The sequence below is a fragment of the Homo sapiens genome, chromosome 1 (assembly GCF_000001405.40).
Source record: "Homo sapiens chromosome 1, GRCh38.p14 Primary Assembly".
Taxonomy (NCBI): Eukaryota; Metazoa; Chordata; class Mammalia; order Primates; family Hominidae; genus Homo; species Homo sapiens.
Genome location: NC_000001.11, coordinates 180412626 through 180438616, shown reverse-complemented (window position 1 = coordinate 180438616; position 25991 = coordinate 180412626). Strand labels below are relative to the sequence as shown.

The following is a 25991-nucleotide window of genomic DNA, read 5'->3' as shown; positions in this document are numbered from 1 at the left end:
AACTTGCTTTAAAAAGAAGTCTAAATAAAAAAGAAAAAAGAACTATACTTATTTTTTTTGAACTACCACGTAACTCTTAATTAGTAGTCTTTATTTCACAGCAAATAATTACCAAGTGGACCATAGCTATCTCTTCCCAATTGTCTATTTCACTTTAAGAGAGTCAATGAATGGCGCCAATAGAAGCTATGATTGTCTCATGAACAACCTTGTCTTATTGCTTCTTAAATGGTTATGTCCTTTGCCTATTCTATTTAAGACACCCTGTACCTTAAATAGAGTAGGCAAAGGACAGAAACATTTTAAGTTCTCTAACACAGCAGTCCCCACCCTTTTTGGCACCAGGGACTGGTTTAGTGGAAGACCATTTTTCTGCAGCAGGGATTAGGGGGCCAGTGTTGGAGGGGGATGGTTTCAGGATTAAACCATTTGACTTCAGATCATCAGGCATTAGATTCTCATAAGGAGTGCGTAACCTAGACCCCTCACATGTGCAGTTCACAATAGTCTTCACAGTCCTGTGAGACTCTAATGCTATTGCTGATCTCACAGGAGGTGGAGCTCAGGTGGTAATGCTTGCTCAACCGCCACTCATCTCCTGCTGTGCGGCCAGGTTCCTGACAGGCCATGTATTGCTACTGGCCTGCAGCCCAGGGGTTGGGGACCCCTACTCTAACATTCTGTGCATACCCTCATCATAGGGCCTTTGCACTGGCTTTTTCCTATGGCTGGAACAATCTACTCCAGATACCTGCAAGACTCACTTCTTCACTTCCTTTGTCTTTATTCAAAGGGCCTTCTCTAGAAGGCTTTCCCTAACCATCTTATTCCAAATTATAACCTTGTTCCTGGACCTGTTTTTTTTCTTCATAATACTCCTTAGGTTTTAATATTGGAAAACTTATTCATTTATTGTCTGTCTCTGTCAGACCTAACCTGATTTTTGTGTGACGATTTTGTATCCTGCAACTTTGCTGAATAACAGATTGGGTGGAATCTTTAGGATTTTTTTACATATAAAATCTTGTTGTCTGTGAACAGATAACTTTACCTCTTCCTTTCCAATTTGGATGCCATTTTAGGAAAAACTTTCAAACTGTGTTTTTCCTCTGCTCTCATACCACTACAACAACAGAAGACTTCTGTGACCAAATACGTGGGGATTTCTCCCCAACATTATGTGAGCAGTTCTGCAGCAGACACCAACTGGGTATCCTCCTAATCAGTTCTGACACTAGGTGCCTAGAGATAGTGTCAGATTCCACAGGTTGAGGACTCAGTCCCCAGGACTGCCTCCCACCCCTTGACCAGTCACAAGCCCCGGTCTCCAGAATTTCTTACCAACTGGCTTCAAGTTGTGGTTCCCATGACCCCCTCTTTGGGTTCAACTGAGTTCTGGAGTGGCTTACAGAACTCAGGGAAACACATTTGCCAGTTTATTATAAAGGATGTTACAAAGGATACAGATGAAGATGTCGAGGGAAAAAAGCCAAACTGCAAAGTATTTGAAGAGATTTATTCTGCACCAAATGTGAAGACCATGACCCATGACACAGCCTCAGAAGGTCTTGAGAACATGTACCCAAGCTGATGGGGTTATAGCTTGATTTTATATCCTTTAAGGAGATATGATAGCATTAACATTGGCCTGGATACCATCTTGAATAGAAGTGATGAGAATAGATATCCTTGCCTTGTTCCTGATCTTAGAAGGAAAGCTTTCAGTTTTTCACCACTGAGTATGTTGTTAACTGTGGCCTTTTCATATATGGCCTTTATTATTTTGAGGTAGTTTTGTTTTTGTTTTTGTTTTTTGAGGTTTCAATATTTTATTCAGGTTTTTTTAAAGTGATGTTAATTACAGCATTTGAAGGGGAGGATCTAATTCCACACAAAATGGAAGACTCTAAAATGTACCCATTAAACTGCTAAAAAACAAATTGAGTGGTGAGAATACAACAGAAGTCCAATTTAGATTCTGAGTGTTGTCACCATGTGATTACAATCATACAGACACTTCTAAGCTTATAGGTGGAGCTCCTGGAAGCTATTTCATACTCTGGTGCAAGGGCAAAAAAACACAACGCAAGAAGGAATAAGTCCTGAATTATTGGCTTTATCACGTCCACCCTCTCCACCCCAAAATGGCACAAAAGAATCGTGACCACACCACTCTGCAGACGTTTTGGTGTAAAAGAGGTGACGATGAACTGGGGTGGGAACAGGTCATGAAGATATGTCTAAAAAAAATCCCATTCAGGTGAGTTTGTACACACCATCAAGTAGTGAGCTTCTCATCAATTAGGGTTAGATAAACAAGGTTCAATTCTCAGGAAATCACAATTTCTTTCATTTACTCAATATGAATTTACAAAGTGCCTACATATTATCAGCTTCCACTTGCAGCCATTTCTAGATAAAAAAGAAACCTGATATCTCAAAGGGGCCACCAAGTTACCCCCAAGTCTACCACTGAAAGGACCTTTTTTGGAAATGGTTTTCTTCTGTACCTCTGAAAGGGTAACATCTTAAAGCTGAATCATCTTTAACCTGGAGGTCTAACATATTTAGCAATACTTGCATTCCAGACGTACAACATTAAACGATACAGTAAATTCTGAAGGTAGCTATGCTGCAAAATAGTTTAAAATTAAACAATTGTACAGTATTCATTTATGCTTGAAATTCCAGGCCTAAACCAAGCTTGTGGCCACCACCATTGACGTTCTTGCCATCCAGAAGAGCTGACAGTGTCAATTTGATACCTGGTTTTAGGGTCTGAGTGTATCCTAAACCCATCAGGCTGGAGTTATTCACTTTAGCCGAGAAGCAGCTGTCAGAGTCAATCTGATACTTGGCTGCTATTCTGAAGTGCGTGTTACTGTTTCCTGCTGTCCAGGCGAGATTGACAGCGGTCTCTAACTTCTTGTTCACCTTCTGGTAAATGGAGCTGCCAAACTCTGTCCCGTCATTCATATTAGTGTGAAGCTGGAATTCATAAGTCTTGTAGCCAACTGCAAAGTTGCTCTGGGTTACTCGGGACTTTGCAGTCTCAAAATTCATCCAGGCTGGGCATGGTCGCTCATGCCTGTAATCCCAGCACTTTGGGAGGCCAAGGCGGGCGGATCACGAGGTCAGGAGATTGAGACCATCCTGGCTAACGGTGAAACCCCGTCTCTACTAAAAAAAAAAAAAAAAAAATTAGCCAGGCGTGGTGGCGGGCGCCTGTAGTCCCAGTTACTTGGGAGGCTGAGGCAGGAGAATGGCGTGAAACCAGGAGACGGAGCTTGCAGTGAGCTGAGATCCTGCCACTGCACTCCAACCTGGGCGACAGAGCAAGACTCCGTCTCAAAAAAAAAATGCATCTGGTAGCCGGCCAGCCAGCCCTCGTAACCCAGCACCAGAGTACCCCAGATGGAAAGGCCAGCGATGTTGAAATCCGTGTCGCAGCCCAGGTTAATGTGCTTCTGCTTGTACCCTGTCTTGATTTTAGCTTTTTTTTCCCCAGTGTTAGGTGAGAAGGATGAATTGAAGGTAAGCTTCAGATCATGTGCAAGCTGACCTTCCACGGTAATCTCGGTGCCTAGTGTATTGTCGGTGTTCCATTTCTCTGTAAACGTCAGGCCGTACTCAGTCCATCTGTACTTGGTTTACAGACTGCCCATGACTTTGGTGGTCTCAATGTTGGCTGAGCCTGAGCTTGTAAATTCCAATTCATTCTCAGATTTTGTTTTCAAATCAAGCCAAATCCATAACCCTTGGTGAAGACATCCCTGGCAGATTTGCCAAGATTGGCATTCGTGGGTGGCACAGCCACCTTCGGCTTAGAGGCATTGGCAGCAGGCTCGGTTGCGGCTATGGCCTGTTGAGGTAGTTTTACTCTATTCCTAGTTTATTAATACATTGGTTTGGTTTGGAAAGACAGGACAACTCGAAGCAGTGACTTATCATAGGTAGATTCAAAGATTTTCTGATTGGCAGTTGGTTGAGAGTTAAGTTATTATCTAAAAGCTTGGAATTAATAGAAAGGAATATCTGAGTTAAGGATTTGTGGAGACCAAGGTTCTTACTATATAGATGAAGTCTCATAGGTGGCCACTGTTAGATGCAATAGATGACAATTGTTTCCTATTCAGATCTTTAAAAGATTCTTCAGATCTCTCAGCTAATCTCTTTAGGATCAGAAAAAGACCTGGAAAGGGAACAGGATTCTTTACATAATGTAAAATTTCCCTTTTAAGAGATGGCTTTGCAGGGCCATTTCAAAATATGTCAAATATATTTTGGGATAAGATATTTTGATTTCTTCCAGGGTCTGCTCTCTGTCATGTGATGCTATACTAGAGTCAGGTTGGAATTTGATATCTTATTGATACAAAGAGTCTTTTTTGTCAGTTGTGAGATCTCTGTTTTAATGTTAATGCTGGTCAGTTGTTCCTGAATGCTAAAGGGAGGAAAGTATAATGAGGCATGTCCAGACCCCGACTTCCCATCATGGCCTGAACTAGTTTTTCAGGTTTCTTTGGAGAAACCTTAGCTGAGAGGAGGGGTTCATCCAGATGGTTGTAGGGCTTAGAACTTTATTTTTGGTTTACAAGGAGATGTGTAGGGTGAGGCATGGAGGAAGGGACATGGCGCTTTCATGATCTCTCTGGGCATGCCACCCTCCAGGAACCTCCATGTGTTCCACTATCCCCAGGCTCCCAGCACCCATTCCTCTTGGGTTTCATGATGTCAGTATTCCTTCCCCTAGGGTATAGGGCAGGACTCTCTCTCGGGATTGTGACCCACAATCAGAAAGGGTAACCTGGGGCAGGTAAAAGGAGGGCAGGAGAAAGTCCCATAGATTCTCTTTCCTGAGGCTTGCTCCTGAGGCCTGACACACCTAATTATGTAACGAAAGACTGTAACAAGGGCAATAGGAGTTAGAAACCAGGAACCATGGACAAAAACAAATCTCTTTTGTGCGCACTCTCTCACTCTCGCTCTCTCTCTGTACACACACACACACACACACACACACACACACACACACACACACAGCATAACACCACAAATGCCTTTTATTTCTTGTCTGATCGCTGTGGCTTGGATACCATCTTGAAAAGAAGTGATGAGAATGGATATCCTTGCCTTGTTCCTGATCTTAGAAAGAAAGCTTTCAGTTTTCCACCACTGAGTATGTTGTTAGCTGTGGCCTTTTCATATATAGCCTTTATTGTGTTGAGGTAGTTTTATTCTATTCCTAGTTTATTTAGTGTTTTTATCATGAACACATGTTGAATTTTGTCAGATGCTTTTTCTGTATCAATTGAGATGATCATGTGGGTTTTGTCCTTCATTGTATTAATATGCTGTGTTATATGATTGATTTTTGTATGTTGAACCATCTTTACATTCCAGGAATAAATCCCAGTTGATCATGATGTATAATCCTTTTAACGTAATGTTAAATTCAGTTTATTAATATTTAGTTGATTTTTTGGATTAATATTCATCAGGGATATTGGTTTTAGTTTTCTTGCAGTAGTTTTGGCTTTGATGTGAGGATAAGACCTCATAAAATGAGTTAGAAGTGTTCCCTTTTCTTTAATTATTTTGATGTATGAAGAGGATTGGTGTTAATTCTTCTTTAAATATTTGATAGAATTCTCCAGTGAAGTGATCTGGTTCTGGGCTTTTCTTTGTAGGGAAGTTTTTTTTTTTATTACTGATTCACTCTCTTTCTTGGTGATAGGTCTGTCAGATTTTTGATTTCTTCGTGATTCAGTCATGGTAGATTGTATGTTTCCAGGAATTTATTCATTTCTTCTAGGTTATCCAGTTTTTTGGCATGTAATTGTTCATAGTTATCTCTTATGATTCTTTGTATTTCTGTGGCATTAATTGTAACATCTCCACTTTCATTTCTGAGTTATTTGACTCTTCTTTTTTCTTAGTTAACCTAGAATAGCTCATTTCTTTGTGTTGCTGAATAATATCCTATTTTATGGGTGTATCATTTGCTTATTAATCTATTTAAGGACATATTGGATTTTAGCCATTCCAATAGGTGTGTAGTGGTTTCTCATTTTTGTTTTCATTTGCATTTCTTTAATGACATGATGTTTAAACATCTTGTCACTCGCTTATTTGCTATCTCTGTATCTTCTTTGGTAAGTTGTCCATTTAGATCTTTTACTCGTTTTTCATTGGGTAACTTATTTTCTTAGTGTTGAGTTTTAAGAATTCTTTGAATATTTTGGATACCAGTCTTTTATTAGATAAGTGTTTTGCAAATTTTCTTTCAGTTTATGGCTGGTCATTGCATTGTCTGAACAATATCTTTCACAGAGCAGAAATTTTCAGTTTTAATAAAGACCTACTAATCAATTTTTTTCTCTCATGGATTATAAATTTTTTTTTTTTTTTGAGACAGAATCTTGCTCTATTGCCAGGCTGGAGTGCAGTGGCGTGATCTTGGCTCACTGCAGCTTCTGCATCCCAGGCTGAAGCAATTCTTGTGCTTCAGCCTCCTAGGTAGCTGGTACTACAGTCACGCACCACCATGCCTGGCTAGTTTTTTGCATTTTTAGTAGAGGTGGTATTTTGCCATGTTGGCCAGGCTGGTCTCAAACTCCTGGCTTCAAGAGATCCACCTGCCTCAGCCTCCCAAAGTGCAGGGATTATAGGTGTGAGCCATTGCACCTGGCCTGTCATGGATTATACTTTTGATATTGCATGTAAAAAGTCATTGCGAAACCCAGTATCACCTAGATTTTCCGCCATGTTACCTTCTAGGAGTCATTCTTTTTTAAGAAGCTATGCTTGCCACTTCATACTTGGTTCTATCTCTATTTTTTTTCCTTTCGTATCCAGTTTTCTCATTTTTAGTTTTATTTATTTAGTTATCATCTCGAGCGCCAAGTATGTTTTAGTTTTATCCTATCAATGGAACATGTATTTGGAATATAATTGGATTAAGTAAAATAAGTTCTCCCTTTGTACACGTTCCTCAGCTTATAATGAGGATACATACTGGTAAATCTATTATAAGTCAAAAATATCATAAATCGAACCATTGTAAGTTGGGGATCATCTCTACTTTTTTTTGGTATAAAGAAATACATTATCTATCCCAGAAATTCTTCATAGCATTTATTCTCTAAAAATGGCCCTCAGAGCACAGAGAAATCTGTCATTTACCTAGTGCTTCTTGTTTGCTAGCATCATACTAATACACTTTATATACTTTGTCATTTAATCATGTTAATAGTTGTCGTCTATGATTTTATAACTTTGTTTCTATTACAAGTTGATAACTGACTTGATTCATCTCCTCAAAAATTTACAACATTTTTTGAAACCTTAGTTCCCCCAGTAGTGTTAGGAACAGATAGAATATGCTATCTCCGGGGAAGGGGGTCTTTTTCCTCAGCCCAGTGATCCACAGACTGAAACAAACAATTAAAAAACAAAACAAAACTCGTACTTCTCTTAAGTACTGAAAAAATGTGTATGGGGATTGACTGTATTTTATTTGAAGTAAAACTAGTCTTTTTGCAGTCAAATTAAATAATAATGTAATTTTGATTCTAAGGGAATATTTATGTCCGGAATCAGAGTTTTGACTTTTGCAGGGTGTCCTGTACTAAACGCTGTCAATACATGGGGTTTTGCAGAGGTTGCACTTTGATCCTTGCAGACAGTATTATCCAGGTTCATTGCTTCCACATTACATGTTTTAGAAGAATCTTATTACTAAATTAATTTTACTCTTGTGTGTTTTGAGAACATAGAGGGGCAAGACGTGTTGAATCCTTGAGTTTGGAAAGTATTTCTGTGCAGTTTGCTTCTTTTTTCTTTTATTTGAGATATAAACCTCCTTTCCTATCCCTCCTCTACCTTTTCTCCTTCCTTTTTTTTTTTTTTAACCCAAAAACATTTTCTTTATAATTAAATTTGAACTTTTACTGTAATGTAGCTTCTTATTTGGGAACTTTTATAAATCTAGATACGATTTTGCTGATCACATTCATGTCTGGGATTTATTTTTCTTTTTCTCACCTGAACATCCATATTTACCACATTGAACATCATCTCACAGTCAGCTAGGAGAATTGTTTTTTGGTGGCTCCAGAAGGCTGTACTGGAATACCTTAGATTGCCAGCCAGGTACCCATTCCACTCCTGTGATGACCTGAGAATCCTATTGCCTTTCTGTTACCACCTTAAAAGTTTTACTAGGGTTTGAAGAGATGGTTGAGGGTAAAATCCTTAGTCTTTCTTAGCAAAATAACATTTTGTAACTGATTTAAATACCTATTGTTTTAACCCATTTGTCTTTTTTTCACTTTTTTTTCTCCTTCCCACAGATACCAGAGAAGAAAGGAAAAGAAGCAAATACAGGTTTTGGTGGGCCAGTTATTAGTTCTCTATATCATGAAGAAACCATCAGGTAATTTCTCTTCTGATCTTTGATAATAGAAATATATATGCCTGTGTGTGTGCATGTGTTTGTATGTATGTGCTTATGTATGTGTATATGTGTACTATATATTTTTAATCCTGAAATCTTCAATTTGTGAAGCATTCCTTCTTAACATGAAACTGATTTGGTGGTATTTGCCAGCAGGACAATAAATGACAGGAAATAATTTTTTAGGTGTATAATCTTTAAAATCAATTAAATGTCTGAACCAGTGCCAGATAAGTCTGAATAAGTGATAATAATTACTTTTCATTGGTGTCTAGTGACGACTGTCTCATTCAATGACTTTCCCCACACAAGTAGTTGGTGGGACAAGATGTTGTGTCTCAATCTAAAGCTAAGGATTTTTGTGTTAATTTTCCTCAAAATACTATTATTTTAAATATTTTAATTTTTTAATTTGTTTAATTAAAAGTTAATTTAATTTGCTGTAAATTAAAAGTAATTTTGGAGTATAAAATGATACAGCCACTGTGGAAAACGGAAGTTTCCTCAGAAAGTTAAAATAGAATTACCATATGATCCACCAATTCTGTTTCTCAAGAAGCAGAAACAAGAAAGCAGAATCTCAAAGACATATTTGCACACCCATGTTCATAGCAGCATTCTATACAGTAGCCAATAGGTGGAAGCATCTGTTGACAGATGGATGGATAAACAAAATGTGGTATATACAATGGAATATTATTCAGCCTTAAAAAGGAAGGAAATTTTGACAGCTGTTGCAACATGTATGAACCTTGAGGATATTACGCTAAGTGAAATAAGCCAGTCACAAGAACACAAACACTTTGCGATTATACTTACATAAGGTATTTAGAGTAGTCAAACTCACAGAAACAGAAAGGATTCAAAAATCAGAGAGACAGTAAAATGGTGGTTGCCAGGAGCTGGGGGTAGGGGAAATGGGAAGTTGTTTAATGGGGACAGAGTTTCAGTTTTACAAGATGAAAAAGTTACGGGGATTGCACAACAGTGTGAATATACTTAACACTACTGAACTGTATACTTAGAAATACTTTTAGCTTTTAGTTTTTGATAGTGAAGATCATATTTTACCCATCTTTGCATTCTCACTATCTGAGGAAGGCCCCCAAACTTAGTAGATCTTCAGTGAAAGTACTCAGAACTTGGGAGGTAGCCACAGCTGCTTCCCTTGAAGAGCTGATAGTTTAGTGACTATTGCTTATGTAGAGTTAGCCTAAGAGCCCTATTGTAAGACAGAGAGCTGCTGGTTTGGTTCTTCTGTGATATGCCTATCCTAACCTCTTTCTCTTAAGCAATAAAAAATGTATAGGCTATTTTTCTTTCCTAGTTAGATAAATAAATTGAGATAGTTTCTTGACTTTCCTTTTAAAAAAATTACTAAGCTTAAGTTTCTAACAATATCAGTCACTTATCTGTAAATCATAATGATCTTTATTTTGTATGCCATTTTCCTTAAGGGCTCCCATACTCTAGTATTTTTCAAAATGATGTACTGAATACATTTTCTTTTCAAATGTCTGATGACGTGACTGATCACAGCAGCCCTACAGAACACGAAGCAAATCAAATGTACTCCAGTTGTAGTGAGAGTAGAAATCCTGAGATAGAGTTAAACTGTATTGAAAGGGTTAATCTTCCTTCCTTTATCCCCCACCCAATTGCTAGTGAAGTGATTCTTAGATTTAAATCAGTATTTAGAATTTTGACAGTGATAAACAATGACAAAGAATAATACAGTTTATTTTTGTAGAGATTTAAATTCAATTCAACACACATTTATTATGAACCTATAATGACAGAAAACATTGGAATATTTGTGCTTCTCAACTTCTTCACTTTTGAATAATATGTTCTTACTACTTTTGGCATTTTCATGAAAGTATGTTTAATAAATATTAATTGAATGAAATATGAACCTTTGTGGGCAAAATTGGTTAGACTTGGCCTTTTTTTCATGAAGTCTTCATTAAGTATTAGTCTTATGATATCATCTAAATCTTCATATTCTGAACATATTGTTAAGAAAGAGTAAGAAACATGAATGTGAGCAAGCCATTGAAAGCTGTTTAACTATTACAAACACAGTAATTTTGTTACTACTACAGCAGATCAGAAATTACAGCAACTAATCATACTCTTGTATTGGGAGAGTTCTTTTTATAGTGTAGAATTCCATTATAACAAATTAGGCCATAATGAAAATTCGTTGTTTTTTGGTTTTTGGTTTTTTTTTTTTTTTTGAGACAGAGTCTTGCTCTGTCACCAAGCTGGAGTGCAGTGGTATGATCTCAGCTCACTGCAACATCTGCCTCCTGGATTCAAGCGATTCCCCTGCCTCAGCCTCCTGAGTAGCTGGAACTACAGGCGCACCACCATGCCCAACTAATTTTTGTATTTTTAGTGGAGACAGGGTTTCACCATATTAGCCAGGATGGTCTCGATCTCTTGACCTCGTGATCCACCTGCCTTGGCCTCCCCAAAGTGCTGGGATTACAGGCGTGAGCCGCTGTGCCTGGCATGAAAATTCTTATGTACTGAAATGTTGGATTATTCCAGTGAAGAGCCAGATGTAGTCCGTATGGTTTCTTACGTATCAGAATGCAATTGCAACAATGAAAATGGGTTATTTCTTGAAGTTATGTAATCAAATTATGCTTGTATTTTGGTGAAATATATCTGGTGTTTTATTTTTCTAAGAGAAAGTTGTGCTTTAATTGATATTAATTGCAATTTCTTGGCAGAATTATATTTAACTGAGGCGAAAGTGACAGTAGGTTTTAGAGTTTTAGAAGCATCAAATGGTAGACTTGGATGAAAGCAAAAATTCTTTTCTATGGAACTGTTATTTTTAAAAAAGGACATAAAATAATGTATTTTGAAGGTTTGTTTTGATACTTTATAACTCCAGATTTTTTTTACATTTGTAAAGATCAGGCAAATCACTATCTAATAAATCCATTTGGTTAAGTTTGGGTTCCATTGTTGTGGCAGCTTTTCTGACGAATGTGTATTGTATAATAGATGATGAGTTATGAGTTTGAGCCAAGGGCCAGTGGGGCCAATTCTGAGCTTGCTTCCTGCTTTCTACTCTGTCATAGAAAGTATCAATATAATGTCAGAGGTTCAGATCTCTGTGTTAATATTGCAGAGCTCTGACATCAATTTCTCATTCTGAAGCAAGTTAATTGTTCTGTAATATAATTGAGGGGGTGTAGGGGGATTCTAATTAAGTACAAAAAATTATGGAGCCAAACCGCTGGCATTCAAATGCTAGTTCCACCACTTACTAGCTGTGTGATCTTGGGCAAGTTACTTACCTGTAAAATGGGGATAATTATAGTACTTATCTCACTTGATACTTAGCAGATTATGTGAATACATAGACATCCTCGAACAGTACCTGGTGCAAAATAAGTTACTGTGTAACTGTTAGCTTTTATAAATAGTATTGTTATTCGGCAGAGGGAGTCCCTACAGAGGAGCCAGGAGCTGATGTTAGGAGCTACAATAACATGGCATTCTGGTTATATAATTAAATGCAAGTTGTTTGCTTTTGCAAAAGAAAATGGAAAACAAGGAAGGGAGAGCCAATATTTTTAGAACTATAGAAACGAGAGTAACAAATCTTATAACAGGGAGTAACCTCTGGTTTTGCGATCAGCTGTTTTTCATTTATACCGCAGATGGGCAGAAAAAGTACTGGTCAATAAGCATAGGGGTTTGTAGAGTAAGATGATTCTGCACTACATATACAAGAAATTGCTTCTGGTTACTTGCATGCTTCAAAGGTTTGATCTAGAAGTTTGCACATAAATTGAGAAATTAGGGTAAGAATTAAAAATGTAGTAAATGAAGATTGAACAGTACCCACACCACCCTGCAATAAGATTTGATCCTCCCTGTTATATTTTGTAGTTTGATGTCATGTAATCTATTAGAATTTTATTAATTCTGCTTACACAGACAGCCATCTGGACCTTCTCTAAGCAAGACCAGTCCTAGTATACAACTGAAATGATTGATGGGCTCTGGAATTGATTAGTTGTTCTGTGAGACAAATGAAGTGTTTTGGCAGAAAATACAAGAGGTTGCTGCTTGTGGTCAGACACAAAAGCCTGTAGAATTTCAAAGAGATGCTTTAATCATTGACTTATAAAGTTTCCATTTTTAAACAATAATGGATTTTGAAAATATTTCCCAAATATCTTTTCATTGGCTGCTGTCTAGTCCTGATTATAAATGGAAGAATATAAGTATAAAAAATTAGAATGAAAGTGATTGTTTTATGCTTTAATTTTGTATTCTTGGTGAAATATGAACTAACTTGGAAGTAGCATAAAAGCCTGTCATGCATAAATTATACTCTAAAATTTTCCTGAAAGAGATATGATTGGAGAAAAAGCTGTAACGTGTATAGTTTTATTGTAAATTACTTCTAAAATCAGATGTTATAAAATTCTATTTATTCATTCAAAGCTTCACATTGTTACATTGCAGCCTGTTTTTAACAAATCTACTTAAAGATTCTTAAGCTTCAAGAGTATGTGTTCTACATATTTGTGTTTTAAAAAATGAATATTTGGATTTTTATGCATTTAACAGGCCGTCATTCTGGAACACCACTATCCTAATGATACCACTGCCTTTAGCACCAAAAAGCTTCCCTCCATCTGTTTGGCTGGTGGTAGTGTAATACTTCTCTATTTCACCATGTTGCCTATGATCAACATTGTGTTAACACCTTGGTGATAGGTGATAAATTGGATGACATATGTCTTGTTAAATTCTGGTTATTCTTTGAGGACTACACAAGTGGGTATAGGCAAGTGGGCAACTCCCCCTGGAGAATCTGACTGCTCAGAATGAACTTGAGTTATGGATTTATTCAGCCTGTAAAACCTCAGCTGGCATAAATAATTGAGAAAGCAAAGGTTTGTCTTTGGTGCATACCTCAGGGACTCATGGCTCCCTTCCTCCTCTCTACCTCCCTTTCTTATGAAAATGATTCCAGTTGCACTCCTAGATAATAACACACCAAGCAATTAAAAGCCATGGGTGGCTGGAGAGAGGAGAAAAGGTTTAGTTAATGAGCTTTTCCTCTTCCAGTGCCCATGAGAACCTCAGGAATGACAAGGCGATTAAAGCGAAGAGATAATTATAGATTATGTGAAAATGGGTCCCCTGGGACATGTGGGTCTTGACATAAACAGTAACTGTTGTAAGAGTCTCCTGGCTCTCATATTCACCCTTTTCTAGCGTGCTTCATTTACCTCCTGTGTGCTCAGTGTCATGATGCCAACCAAGCATGTACACAAATCTAGCCCTTTCTGAACCAAGGGTCATTCATCAACTGAAACCATCACCTTTTCTTCCTCTCTGTTTTCTTCTTTTTTCTTCTCCTCTTCCTTTTTCCAGTTTTGTTCTCTCTTTCCTGTCTACCCCATCTAATTTTTCTTTCTCTTCTTCCCATATCCTTATCTGTATGTGGTACCTATGAAATGCTTGTTTACAAAATTTGGTGTGTGTATGTATGTGTGCATATATAAAGATATATAGAGGTTGTGGGTATACTGTATCCATTACAGTAATGAGAAGCAGAATATGCATTACAAATAATATGAACAGGACCCCTTACCATCTCATCTAATGCCAGTTTTCCGCTCACCCCCTTTTTCACTCTGTTCCAACCACATTGGCTTATTTTTTTCCTTGAAGTTCTAATTAATATTTATTAGATTAATTGACACGTAGGGTATGAGGAATGACCTCCAGCTTACAATATATGCTGAATTCTTAAGATAAGAATAATGACAGTTAACATTTATTGACCATTTATTATATGCTAGTATAGTAACCATACTATATGTATTACTTCTCTTAATCTTTAGGATGACCCTATTAAATATAGATGCTATTAATATTCTTTTTTTTACAGATAAGGAAACTGAAATTCAGAGAAGTTAACTTACTTGCCCAGGGTCACATAGTTAGTAACGCTGCTGTTAATTACTGTGCTATGCTGGCTCTGGAAATGTTTGAGGAATCATAATCTCTAGTTAATGAAATTGAGTCTGATAGTTGTTACTATTTAATATGGTGAGTATCTTCAGTTAAAATTTTTAAAATAAAATTTCTTTTCCATTTAATGTTTTAAAAAAATGTACTTTCCTGGTAAAATTGGAGACTTTGGTCTTTCATGTATCAATGTACTGATGATGATATTTCCTTTGGATCGATTATCTTACTGATTTTAGACTTACCTTAATGGTTGAGAATGTAACTCAGCTCTGTAGAGACTTTTAGGAAAGCGGATCTGTGCTTTTTCTGATACGGCAACTGATTTTCCAGAGATTTATTAGAACTTAACTACATTTTATGTTATTGGCATTTAAAGTATCAGAAATTTTCAGTCAAGTTTGTTTAAGGTTAAGCAGCTTTTAAGGGGTGAAAATACATTTTTAGTAAATGGTGTCTTTATAAGTTATGGTTATGTAACTTCTCCAGTATAACTAATTATCTGTAAGAAATATCTGGGTCATTGATTTTTTTCTTTGTCAATACTTTATTGAAAGATTGTGAGAAAAATACATAAAAATATATGTAGTTTTATTTGAAGGGACCCTTACCAACGTAAATAGTATAACAAATGGAAGTTTCAATTTGAAGGCTTTAAGAATTTTCTAGACCTAGAACTAAGTACCTTGCATATATTAATATAATTCAGTCTGAAAATAGTTATGTAGTAGAAGAAGATGTTGCCATTATCATATGACAGGAAGGGGGAAAACTAACTGGTTTGTTTCTATAACTGTCTGAAATCAGTTGCAGATATGGCACTGTGATGCAGGAATTGTGATTCAAAATATAATTTCTGCTCAAAAAACACAGGTTGTGACTGCATAGGTCCACTTATACGTTGATGTTTTTCAGTAAATATATTGGAAACTTTTTTGGAAATTTGCAGCAATTTGAAAACACTTGCAGATGAACTATGTAGCCTAAAATATCCAAAAAATTAAGAAAAAGATATGGCATGAATGCATAAAATATATGTAGATACTAGTCCATTTTTTCATTTACTACCATAAAATGTACACAAATCTGTTATAAAAAGTTCATCACAATGTAGGCACATAAACACTAGCAGACCATATCTGGTGCCATTCTCAATCCAGAAAAATGTAAAAAAAAAGCAAAGATGCAGTATTAAATCATAACTGCATGAAATTAACTGTAGTACATACTATACTACTGCAGTACTTTTGTAGCTACCTCCTATGGCTAGTGTGGTGAGCTCAAGTGTTGCTAGTATCCACTTAAAATGCCAAGACGCTAATCATCTCCAAGTGAGCAGTTTGTCCCTCCAGTAAACTGCGTATAACAGTAAACAGTGATCTCTTGTGGTTTTTGAGTATTTTATCATTGTATGTAGCACTATACTCTAAACCTTGAATAACACCATGAGACCCATATGAAGTACCACTAGTGATGCTGGAAGTACTCCCAAAAAGCAGAGAAATGTCATGACATTATAAGAAAAAGTTGAATTGCTTAATACGTATTGTAGATTGAGGTCTGCAGCTGTGGTTGTCTGCCATTTCAGGGTAAATTAATTGAGCATTACGGACTTCTGTAAAAAAGAAAAGGGATGGGCCAGGTGTGGTGGCTCACAGGGTGGCCTTGGGAGCACCTTCGAAGGCCAAGACGGGTGGATCACCTGAGGTCAGGAGTTCGAGACCAGCGTGGCCAACATGTTGAAACCCCATCTCTGCAAAAAATACAAAAATTAGCCGTGAGTGGTGGTGTGCGCTTGTAATCCTAGCTGCTCAGAAGTCAGAGGCAGGAGAATTGCTTGAACCCGGGAGGTGGAGGTTGCAGTGAGCCGAAATCATGCCACTGCACTGCAGCCTGGGTGAAAGAGCGAGACTCCATCTCAAAAAAAAAAAAGAAAAAAGAAAAGGGAATTCATGAACCATCACCACAGCTACACTGGCAAGTACAAGAACCTTGCACATTTTGTGCAATATCTTTTAATCTCATATTGTAAGTTCAGCTTTTATGTAGGTGTAGTATTGCTATAGGAAAGGCATACTTAGAGACTCTACTATGATTTGAGAAAAAAGTCATTCTGTGACAAAGCAAAAGGAAGGTGAAGGATCTATACCTGGAAAATGTAATGCCAGCAAAGGATGATTTGATAAGTTTAGAAAGAGGTTTGACTTTAGAAAGGTCAAGATAATAGGAGAAACAACTTCTTCTCACCAAGAGGCAACAAATAAGCAAATTTACAAGAAAAAAAAACATTAGAAAGTGGGCAAAAGACATGAACAGACACTTTTCAAAAGAAGATGTACATGCAGCCAACAAACATGTGAAAAAAAGCTCAACATCACTGATCGTTGGAGAAATGCAAATCAAAACCATAATGAGATGCCTTCTCATGCCTCTCTTTTAGTAACAGTCAGAATGGCTGTTATTAAAAAGTCAAAAAACAACAGATTCTGGTGAGATTGTGGAGAAAAAGGAACACTTTATACATTGTTGGTGGGAGTGCAAATTGGTTCAACCATTGTGGAAGACAGTGTGACAATTCCTGCAAGACCTAGAGGCAGAAATAACATTTGACTCAGCAATCCCTTTACTGGGTATATACCCAAAGGAATATAAATCATTCTGTTATAAAGTTACGTGCATGCATATGTTCATCACAGCACTATTCACAATAGCAAAGACATGGGATCAACCTAAACACCCATCAATGATAGACTGGATAAAGAAAATGTAGAATACTATACAGCCATAAAAAGGAACAAGATCATGTCCTTTGCAGGGACATGGATGGAGTTGGAAGCCAATGTCCTTAGTAAACTAACACAGGAAGAGAAAACCAAACACCACATGTTCTCACTTGTAAGTGGGAGCTGAATGATGAGAACACATGGACACATGGAGGGAAACAACACACACTAAGCTCCTTGGGGAGTAGGGGGAGGGAGAGCATCAGGTGGAACAGCTAGCTAATGGATGCTGGGCTTAATACCTAGGTGATGAGACAGTCTGTGCAGCAAACCACCATGGCACCTATTTACATATGTAGCAAACCTGCACATCCTGTACATGTACCCCGAACTTGAAAAAAAAATCATTGAGGAGAGAGGATATCTATTTGCATGAACAGGTGTTTAATGTAGACAGAAATGCCATATTCTGGGGGAGGAAAAAAATGCCACAAAGGACATTTATTAGTAAGGGAGAGAAGGAAGCACCAGGATTTAAGGCAGGAAGGGATAGGCTACCTCTGTTTTCTGCAAATTCAGGCGGGTTTATGATCAACACTATACTTACCTATAAAACTGTTAACCCCTGTGCCTTGAAGGGAAAAGGTAAACACCGTCTTCTGGTCTTTTGGTTGTACAATAAGAAGCCCCGGACAATGAGAACCCTTTTTCTGGATTGGTTCCATTGATTCTTTTTCCCTGAAGTCAGGAGGTACCTTTCTAGTAAGAGACCGCCTTTTAAAGTTCTTTCAATATTGGACAGTTCTCCAGCCACTCAGAAATTCATGAGTTCAACACTGAAGGCATCTACTGCAATCTACTGGCTCCCAAATACAACATCTCTAATTCACCCTCTAGATCGGGGGGTTATAAGGACCTTTAAGGCTCATTACACATGGTACTCTATGGAAAGGATTGTCAACACCACGAAAGAGAACCCTGATAGAACATTATGAAGGTCGGGAAGGATCCATTGGAGATGCTGTCATTATAGAAACGGCGGTGAAAACCGTCATGCCTGAAGCAATAAATTTCTGCTGGAGAAAACTGTCTACATGTTATATGTGACTTCACAGGATTTACGACAGAGCCAATCAAGGAAATCATGAAAGATTGTGAGTATGGCAAAAATGTGTGGCAGGGCGGGGCAGAGAGTTGGTTTTAAGATATAGATCTTGAAGAAATTAAAGAGCTAATAGACACCACACTAGAGGAATTAACAGAAGACGACTTGATGGAAATGATTGCTTCCAAACCAGATAGATATGATGAGGAACAAGATGTAGAATAAATAATGCCCCAAAGAGATTGACATTAGACAGTCTTGCAGAAGCGTTCTGATTATTTAAGACTGCTTTTGACTTTTACTACATGGACCCTTCTATGATATGGGCACCCAAACTTAAGCAAATGGTGAAAGGATTGGTACTGTATAAAAACTTTTAGAGAAACAAACTAAAAAGGGAGAAATTATGGTGTATTTTCACAAAGCTACACTGAGTGTGCCTGCCTCACCTGCCACCTCTTCTGCCTCTGCCAGTGCTGAGACAGCAAGACCAGCCCCTCTTCAGCCTGTGAAGACAACAGGGTGAAGACCTTTATGATGATCCACTTCCACTTAATGAATGTATATTTTCCTTATGATTTTCTTAGTAACATTTTCTTTTCTCTAGCTTACTTTATTATAAGAATATACTATATAACACAAATAAAAATTTATCAACTGTTTATCGATAAGCCTTCAGGTCAACAGTAGCCTACTAGTAGTTAAGTTTTTGGGGAGTCGAGTTACATGCAGATTTTTGACTATGCAGGGGGTCGGTGCCCCCCACCCTCCGTGTTGTTTAAGGGTCAACTTATACGAATTCCTTTGGTCATTTCACTAGTCCATTGGGTACTGTGTATTTTGAACCTACCTTATTACCTCCTTGACTCCTGCACACCATTATTTAAATACCATTATAAGAAAAACATGCCATCATTTAATTGTAAGATGCTGCAGATTATAAGATTCATAGGAGATGTTAACATGAAAAAAATTTGCATTTAGAATCAATGAAATATGACAAGGTAATAGTTTCCAAATGTCTATTTGTCATCCAGGATTTCAAGAACAATATATTTTTTTTTTGAGACGGAGTCTCGCTCTGTCACCCAGGCTGGAGTGCAGTGGCGCGATCTCTGCTCACTGCAAGCTCCGCTTCCTGGGTTCACGCCATTCTCCTGCCTCAGCCTCCCAAGTAGCTGGGACTACAGGCGCCCACCACCATGCCTGGCTAATTTTTTGTATTTTTAGTAGAGACGGGGTTTCACCGTGTTAGCGAGGATGGTCTCGATCTCCTGACCTCGTGATCCACCCGCCTCGGCCTCCCGAAGTGCTGGGATTACAGGTGTGAGCCACCGCGCCCGGCCTCAAGAATGATTTTAAGAACAGCACAACACACAAAAAAACACTTTATTAAGTACTTTGTTTTGAAGGCTAGGCTTCTTACATGTGGTTACTGCCCAAGCAATGTTTTGCCTCTTCCAGGGATTAAACCAAGGTTTTTCAGAAAGGAGGTACTATTTGCAAGATTTTACCTGAGGATCATAGTATAGATTCTCATTTGTTGTCTTTGGTAAGATTGAGAGTCAAAAACAGTATCCTACAATGTGAAATCAACATCTGTAATTTTAATTAGATATTAATTAGAAGTGGGGGTTTTCAGTGTGCTAAGTATGGCAGCCATGACTATTTAATCCTTGATTTAGGATTTGATTTTACCTATTTTGCTTCTCCCAGATAAGTCTTTTTTTTTTCTTTTTTAAGAGACAGGATCTTTCTCTGTTGCCTAGGCTGGAGTGGTGTGATTATAGCTCACTGTAACCTCAAACTCCTGTGCTTAATTGATCCTATCACCTTAGCTTCCCAAATAGGTAGGACTACAGGCACGCACCACCACACCCAGCTAATTTGAAATTTTTTTTGTAGAGGTAGGGTCTTGCTGTGTTGCCCAGGCTGGTCTCAAACTCCTGCGCTCAAGTGATCCTCCCTCCTTGACCTCCCAAAGTGCTGGGATTATAGGTGTGAGCCACCACACACTTCCTCATATAAGTCTTAAATGAGCTTCACTAAACACCTTTGAGTAAGAATAGATTCTTTTTTTCAGGGAGAAAAACATCTGTAAGTAAAATTAATATATGCCTGCCTGTATGATTGTTTTATATTTATAAATTAAAACATACTTTTTAATCTCAACTTATAAAATATTGATGGTTTCATCAGATAAAGATTATATAAAAATTATATTTATAAAATTAAGATTAGATATGTGAAAGATTATATTAAAAAGAACATTAGACTTTGAGTTTTATATTTGGCATATACAGAATGTTGAAAAACATAGTTGAAATCAGTGAGATGACGGCATTATTTTCTAACATTATATTTGAACAGAATACATTTCTTTGCCTTTCAGATCAACAACTTCTGGCCATACATCCAACAAGTAAATCAGGAACTTAAATTCCTACAAAGAAGTAATATTCACTAGCAGTATGACTGAATTTTGGAAGATAGTGTGCAGTGCCAGCTTTTATCCTAGAAAGACTACCTCCAAAGGAACTTCACAGAGTGGCATTTTTGGTGAATTACCATTGATCAGAGTCCATTTTTCAACCTCAAAGATGTAGAAAAAAGATCCGTAGATCAAGCAGACCCTTAGAAACAGAGTAGGAATAATAAAATTGGCCCAAAACTGAGGTGTAAACTAAAATGCTTGTTTGCTTACCAAAGGGACTATGTCTTTGTAGTGATTGAAGTGCTGGGTCCCTCCTTTCTGAGAATTGAGGAGTCCAGAAAAACAGATTAATAGTTAAATGATTATTTGTGAACATAAAAATAGAGCCAGGGAAAGTGTATCATTTTGAGGATTGCCTTAGCCATGGTCCTAATGAGACCTCATGAATGAACTGTCTTTCTCCAGAGAAATCACTCAGAATGCTTTTTTGCCTCCGTCTTTTGGTTATACTTCCTGAAGTATACTAACTATAGTAAGGAGAGAGGTGTAATGCCTCTCCTTTACAAACGAGGAGAAGAGTGTTTGAGCAGAGGGAATGTGGAAAAGGAGAATGGTAATGAAATATTTGCCACAGGAACCCTTTCAGGTAGATCAGTTTAGTAAAGAATACATTTATCTAGAAGATGAAGAGCTGGAAATTGAGTCACTTAAAATGATCTATACCTGCATATCTCTTTAAAGGAGTTTATGTACCCTAGAGCCCACAAATTCCTTAGTTTGAGGAATTATGGCATTTGTTTTTATCTTTGTAGATATTGGCTTACTTTCTTTGGATTTTCATTCATGCAATAAATACTTATTCATTGTCTATTTACTAGAATACTGTGTTTTATATCTGATTTCCAGTTGCTTAGTAAATACATGAATTGAATTGAATATTTGTTGAATGTGCCTATTAAATAGATTTCCAAGCTAGTTCCTTCCATAATTTTTGTAGTTAAATGGACTTTATATGTCTTGCCATGAGACCTATTTGAAATATTATTTTGATAAGAAAATGCTATCTGAGTAGAAAATGGTACAGATAACATATTTAGGAATGGGCAAGGATCTTCCTGTGATTGGGTGAAAAAGCCGTACTTAAACACTCTCCCTCTTTCCCATAGAGTGTGCTCTGATATTTCAAAAGAATGTCAAAACCAGTGATTATTCCTTCAGGAATATAAATGTATTTGCTGTCAATTTCAGAAAAGTTGTAGTAACCTGAAGAAGAGACTTTCTGTTTTGTGCTAGAGATAACATGGGACATCCTTTAGGGTAGCATCATAAACATAACTCACAGTCATCTATAGATAATGAATATGATAATTTTGAGATTCACAAAGAGAGGGAACAAGATACCTGAGTAAAAAATCAAGAAAGGAAAATAAAGATATGGAGAGACACATTTATTTATTTAAGGCTCTACTGTGTTTCATAATGGTTGGATTCATTTGCATGTTATTTTGTTTCAAATAAGCATGGATATAGTGGGCAAGATTGACTATGGAAGGCTGTATTGAGCTCTTAGAAAATGGTAGAGGGAGAAAGTTTGATTTATACATTGTACATAATTTTAGGGGGCAAGAAAGGAAATATGGAATGATATTGCTGTAGATGTTTCTTCATTTTGGCCACTAGATGGTGACATTGTATAAAAACAGCTTGGTTGTAGAAGGTAAGATACTCAAAATTTGGTGTGGGATTGGATAGCTGTATTTAACAAGTAAGCCCAAGAGTGTCACTTAATTTTTTTATATTCGTCATTCAGCCTTGTAGCATTTTTGGCGAATTTATTGAACTTCTCTTTTTGGTATTTAATTTATATGTGTATACTATCCTGAAGTATTTTGTTAATATCTCTGTGCCTAGCATATTTGGTGATGATAAACTATATACGATAAACAAATACTTAAACAAATGCTACCTGCCCTCCAAAAAATTCACATAGCAAAAAAAACTAGTTGATATATTTGATGTGTCTAAGAAACATATTTAAGATACATTAAACAAAATAGAAATTTATATGTGTTTGTACTGTGTTTACTTTTTTACTGCTTACAACGGTATACATGCACATTTGGAAGTTGGACTCAGGAAGAGGGGCCACTCCAAAGGTCCTCTCATCTGTGAATAACGCTTACATATACTGGGTATGCGTAACCCACATGCCAAGGATCCTTCTGCTTTCCTTTCTGTGCCCTACCACCAACTTCCCATTATTTTCCAATTCAGAAACAATTGGCGAGTAGCACTGTAGTATTGCTATGACTTTAAAAGACACAGTTCTTTCTGTAACAGTTGAAGTTGGTGCCTCTTGAATTAGTGGGTTTTCTGTTACTGGATTGGAAGAAAGTAGGTCCCTATTATCCTTAAGTTGGAACTCTGAAGGTATTCTTTCATAGACATGGTGTTTTTTTTTTTGCGTGTGTTTGTTTGTTTGTTTGAGACTTAGTCTTGCTCTGTCACCCAGGCTGGAGTGCTGTGGTATGATCTCGGCTCACTGCAACCTCTGCCTCCTGGGTTCAAGTGATTCTCCTGCCTCAGCCTCCTGAGTAGCTGGGATTACATGCACGTGTCACCACGCCTGGCTAATTTGTGTATTTTTAGTAGAAACGGGGTTTCACCATGTTGGTCAGGCTAGTTTCGAACTCCTGACCTTATGATCCACCCGCCTTGGCCTCCCAAAATGCAGACCTGATGTTTGTTTTTGGTTTTTTTTGTTTGTTTGTTTTTTGTTTTTGTTTTTGTTTTTTTTATTTTTTTGAGATGGAGTCTCGCTCTGTTGCCCAGGCTGGAGTGCAGTGGCGCAATCTCGGCTCACTGCAAGCTCTGCCTCCCGGGTTCACGCCATTCTGATGCCTCAGCCTCCCGAAACATGGTGTTTTTAATGGTGGTTAAATATGGCTAACGTGGTATTATTTGCAGCTCTACTTTCTAAAATCAGAATTCTCTTTTCTGGGGTTTGACCTCACTTCTTATTTTCTTTACAGAATAAGTGATCGAAAAAGCATTTTCTCTTCTGTTTAACAGGGCCTCTTCAAGTGACCATATAGTCCTATTAAACATGATTTCTTACTTAAAACCTACATCATTTTCTCTAGCTTTGAAGCAAGTTGTTTTTCCCCTGTTCTGTTATAGTCCTTTTTAAGGATCCAGCTTTTACCTTATGTTAATCCTGTGTAGATTTTTGTCATCCCAGCTATACTGTTTGGGTCTTAAAGGCAAACTTTCTTGCTTAGCCTTTTATCTGTTATCAACAAATTCTTGTCCAGTGCCTTACATGTAGTAGGTGCTCAATAAAATACTTAAGCGGCTTAAAGAACACTTAGATGGCTGATGCTAAAGTAGTGTCTTTTAAGAAAATTAGCTATGACTGGAAATAACTTTCTGTATGACACAAGATGTTTAGATTGGCTTTTAGGATAGAAGAACTCCTATGACCAGGTGTTTTGCTTTCTGATGAATGGATGCTCTGGCATTGCAGGTTATAAAACACATCAGTTTGATTTTTGGAACGCAAAATGCATTCCTTTATACTTGTTCATAAAATTCAGTCCACATATGGGGCAGTTTGATTGTTGATATTCTAAATTACTGATCGTTATGGGAGTCACTGATTCTTTTGAGAATCCGATTGAAACAATTCTTCCCCCTATACATACAACATCCAGAAAAATGCACATGCGTTATAAAGATAATTCTGTACATTATTTAGAGAGCTCATAGATGTCATGTTAAGAACTTCTGCTTCAGATTTTGGAATAGACTGCAGCTGATTAGTCAAAAGGCAGCATAATATAATAGAAAAATGTACTGTATACAAAATCAGTTGGTCTAAGTGAGTTCTAGCTCTTATTCCACCTTTGATAAATGTAGTACCATTTGGCAGGTCATTTAACGTCTCCTTTTTGCCTGTTTTTTCATTTGTAAAGTGAAGTTGCATGAAAGATTAAGTGAATTAGCACGTGCAATATACTTAGAAGAGTGCTGGGTATGTAGTATGCTTCCCAGCTTTTCTTTCTAGTCTTTGATTCTACTATCTTATAAAGGATTTTTGAATTTTTTAATGCCCCCCTCTTTTTGTCTAATTGATTTTCTTTGCTTTAAGAAAATCACTTTCATATATATTTTTAAAACTTGAGTAACACTTTATTCTCTTATCCTGTAAGGCAAGTAGGAAACTAAGAACTTTAGTCTTTTCAGGAGTTGGATATATTACAGCTACTGAAAAACTGTTACTGTTCATGTAAAATTTTTTTGTAAGCAGAGTCCATTAACATCTATGTCAGCAGCAAACAGATTGTGTTGAAAATATGTAACTTTAATGTATTACCCAGTAAAAAAAGACCTTTCTTTTTTTTATTCTAGGGAAGAAGACAAAAATATATTTGATTACTGCAGGGAAAACAACATTGACCATATAACCAAAGCCATCAAATCGAAAAATGTGGATGTGAATGTGAAAGATGAAGAGGTATGAAAAACATGCCCTGTTAATTATTTTCCTATGCATGGTTGTTCTGCCCCAGTGCCTTTTCCTAAATGGTAGGCCAATGAACTACAACTCAAAGTACAGTATGGTTAAGAGTATATCAGAATATCTAAATGAGATGGTGTTACCTAGTTAAGATACGTTCTGTGATTATGTCCAACATATTTTTATCTGTGTTTTAGAAGTTACTACCTGAAATTTGTAGGAGTCTGATAGCTTCCATATGTTTATGCTAAAGGGAGAGATTATTCGCATAATAAGTGAAATCTACAGGTAATAGCAAAATCTCATTTATACATAGCTTTCGTGTCTTCCGTTATTATACCTTGAACAGCTAGGTATATTGTTCTTTGCTCAATAAATACATCTTTAGAAAACTGTCAGAATTTTGGTAAATCAATAATTTAAATGCTGGCCTACTAATTAAAGGAATCCTATAGTAAATTATTTTATAAAATATATTACTCCTTTTTTTGGAGGGAGAAACAGGGTCTCACTCTGTTGCCCAGGCTGGAGTGCATGGGTGCGCTCATAGCTCACTGCATCCTCAAACCCATGGGCTTACGCAATCCTCTTGCCTCAGCCTCCCAAGTAGCCAGGACTACAGGCATGTGCTGTCACTCCTGGCTAATTTTTTTATTTTTTGGGGAGATGGGGTCTTGCTATGTCGCCCGGGTTGGTCTTGTCCTCCTGGCCTCAAATGATCCTCCTCCCTCAGCTTC

The 25991-nt window shown here is 37.2% G+C and overlaps 1 protein-coding gene, 1 long non-coding RNA gene, 1 other non-coding gene and 1 pseudogene across 9 annotated transcripts in view; 3 read left to right on the top strand and 1 right to left on the bottom strand.

Annotated features, from left to right (window-relative positions):
- ACBD6 (acyl-CoA binding domain containing 6) overlaps nt 1-25991 on the top strand; it is a 232925-nt gene that overhangs the window by 63961 nt on the left and 142973 nt on the right. For all 7 annotated transcript variants that reach the window (XM_047432083.1, XM_047432080.1, XM_047432082.1 and 4 more), the window contains exons 4-5: nt 8355-8437; nt 25146-25251. In XM_047432083.1, the coding sequence (XP_047288039.1) occupies nt 8355-8437; nt 25146-25251 (189 nt within the window). The remainder of the gene's footprint in view (nt 1-8354; nt 8438-25145; nt 25252-25991) is intronic.
- Nucleotides 227-303, top strand: MIR3121 (microRNA 3121). The gene has a single exon (NR_036067.1). It is a non-coding gene; the product is annotated as a microRNA 3121 (primary transcript).
- Nucleotides 1815-3821, bottom strand: VDAC1P4 (voltage dependent anion channel 1 pseudogene 4; annotated as a pseudogene).
- On the top strand, nt 8474-21615 carry LOC105371637 (uncharacterized). The gene is made up of 2 exons (XR_922334.3): nt 8474-14554; nt 20694-21615. It is a non-coding gene; the product is annotated as an uncharacterized LOC105371637 (long non-coding RNA).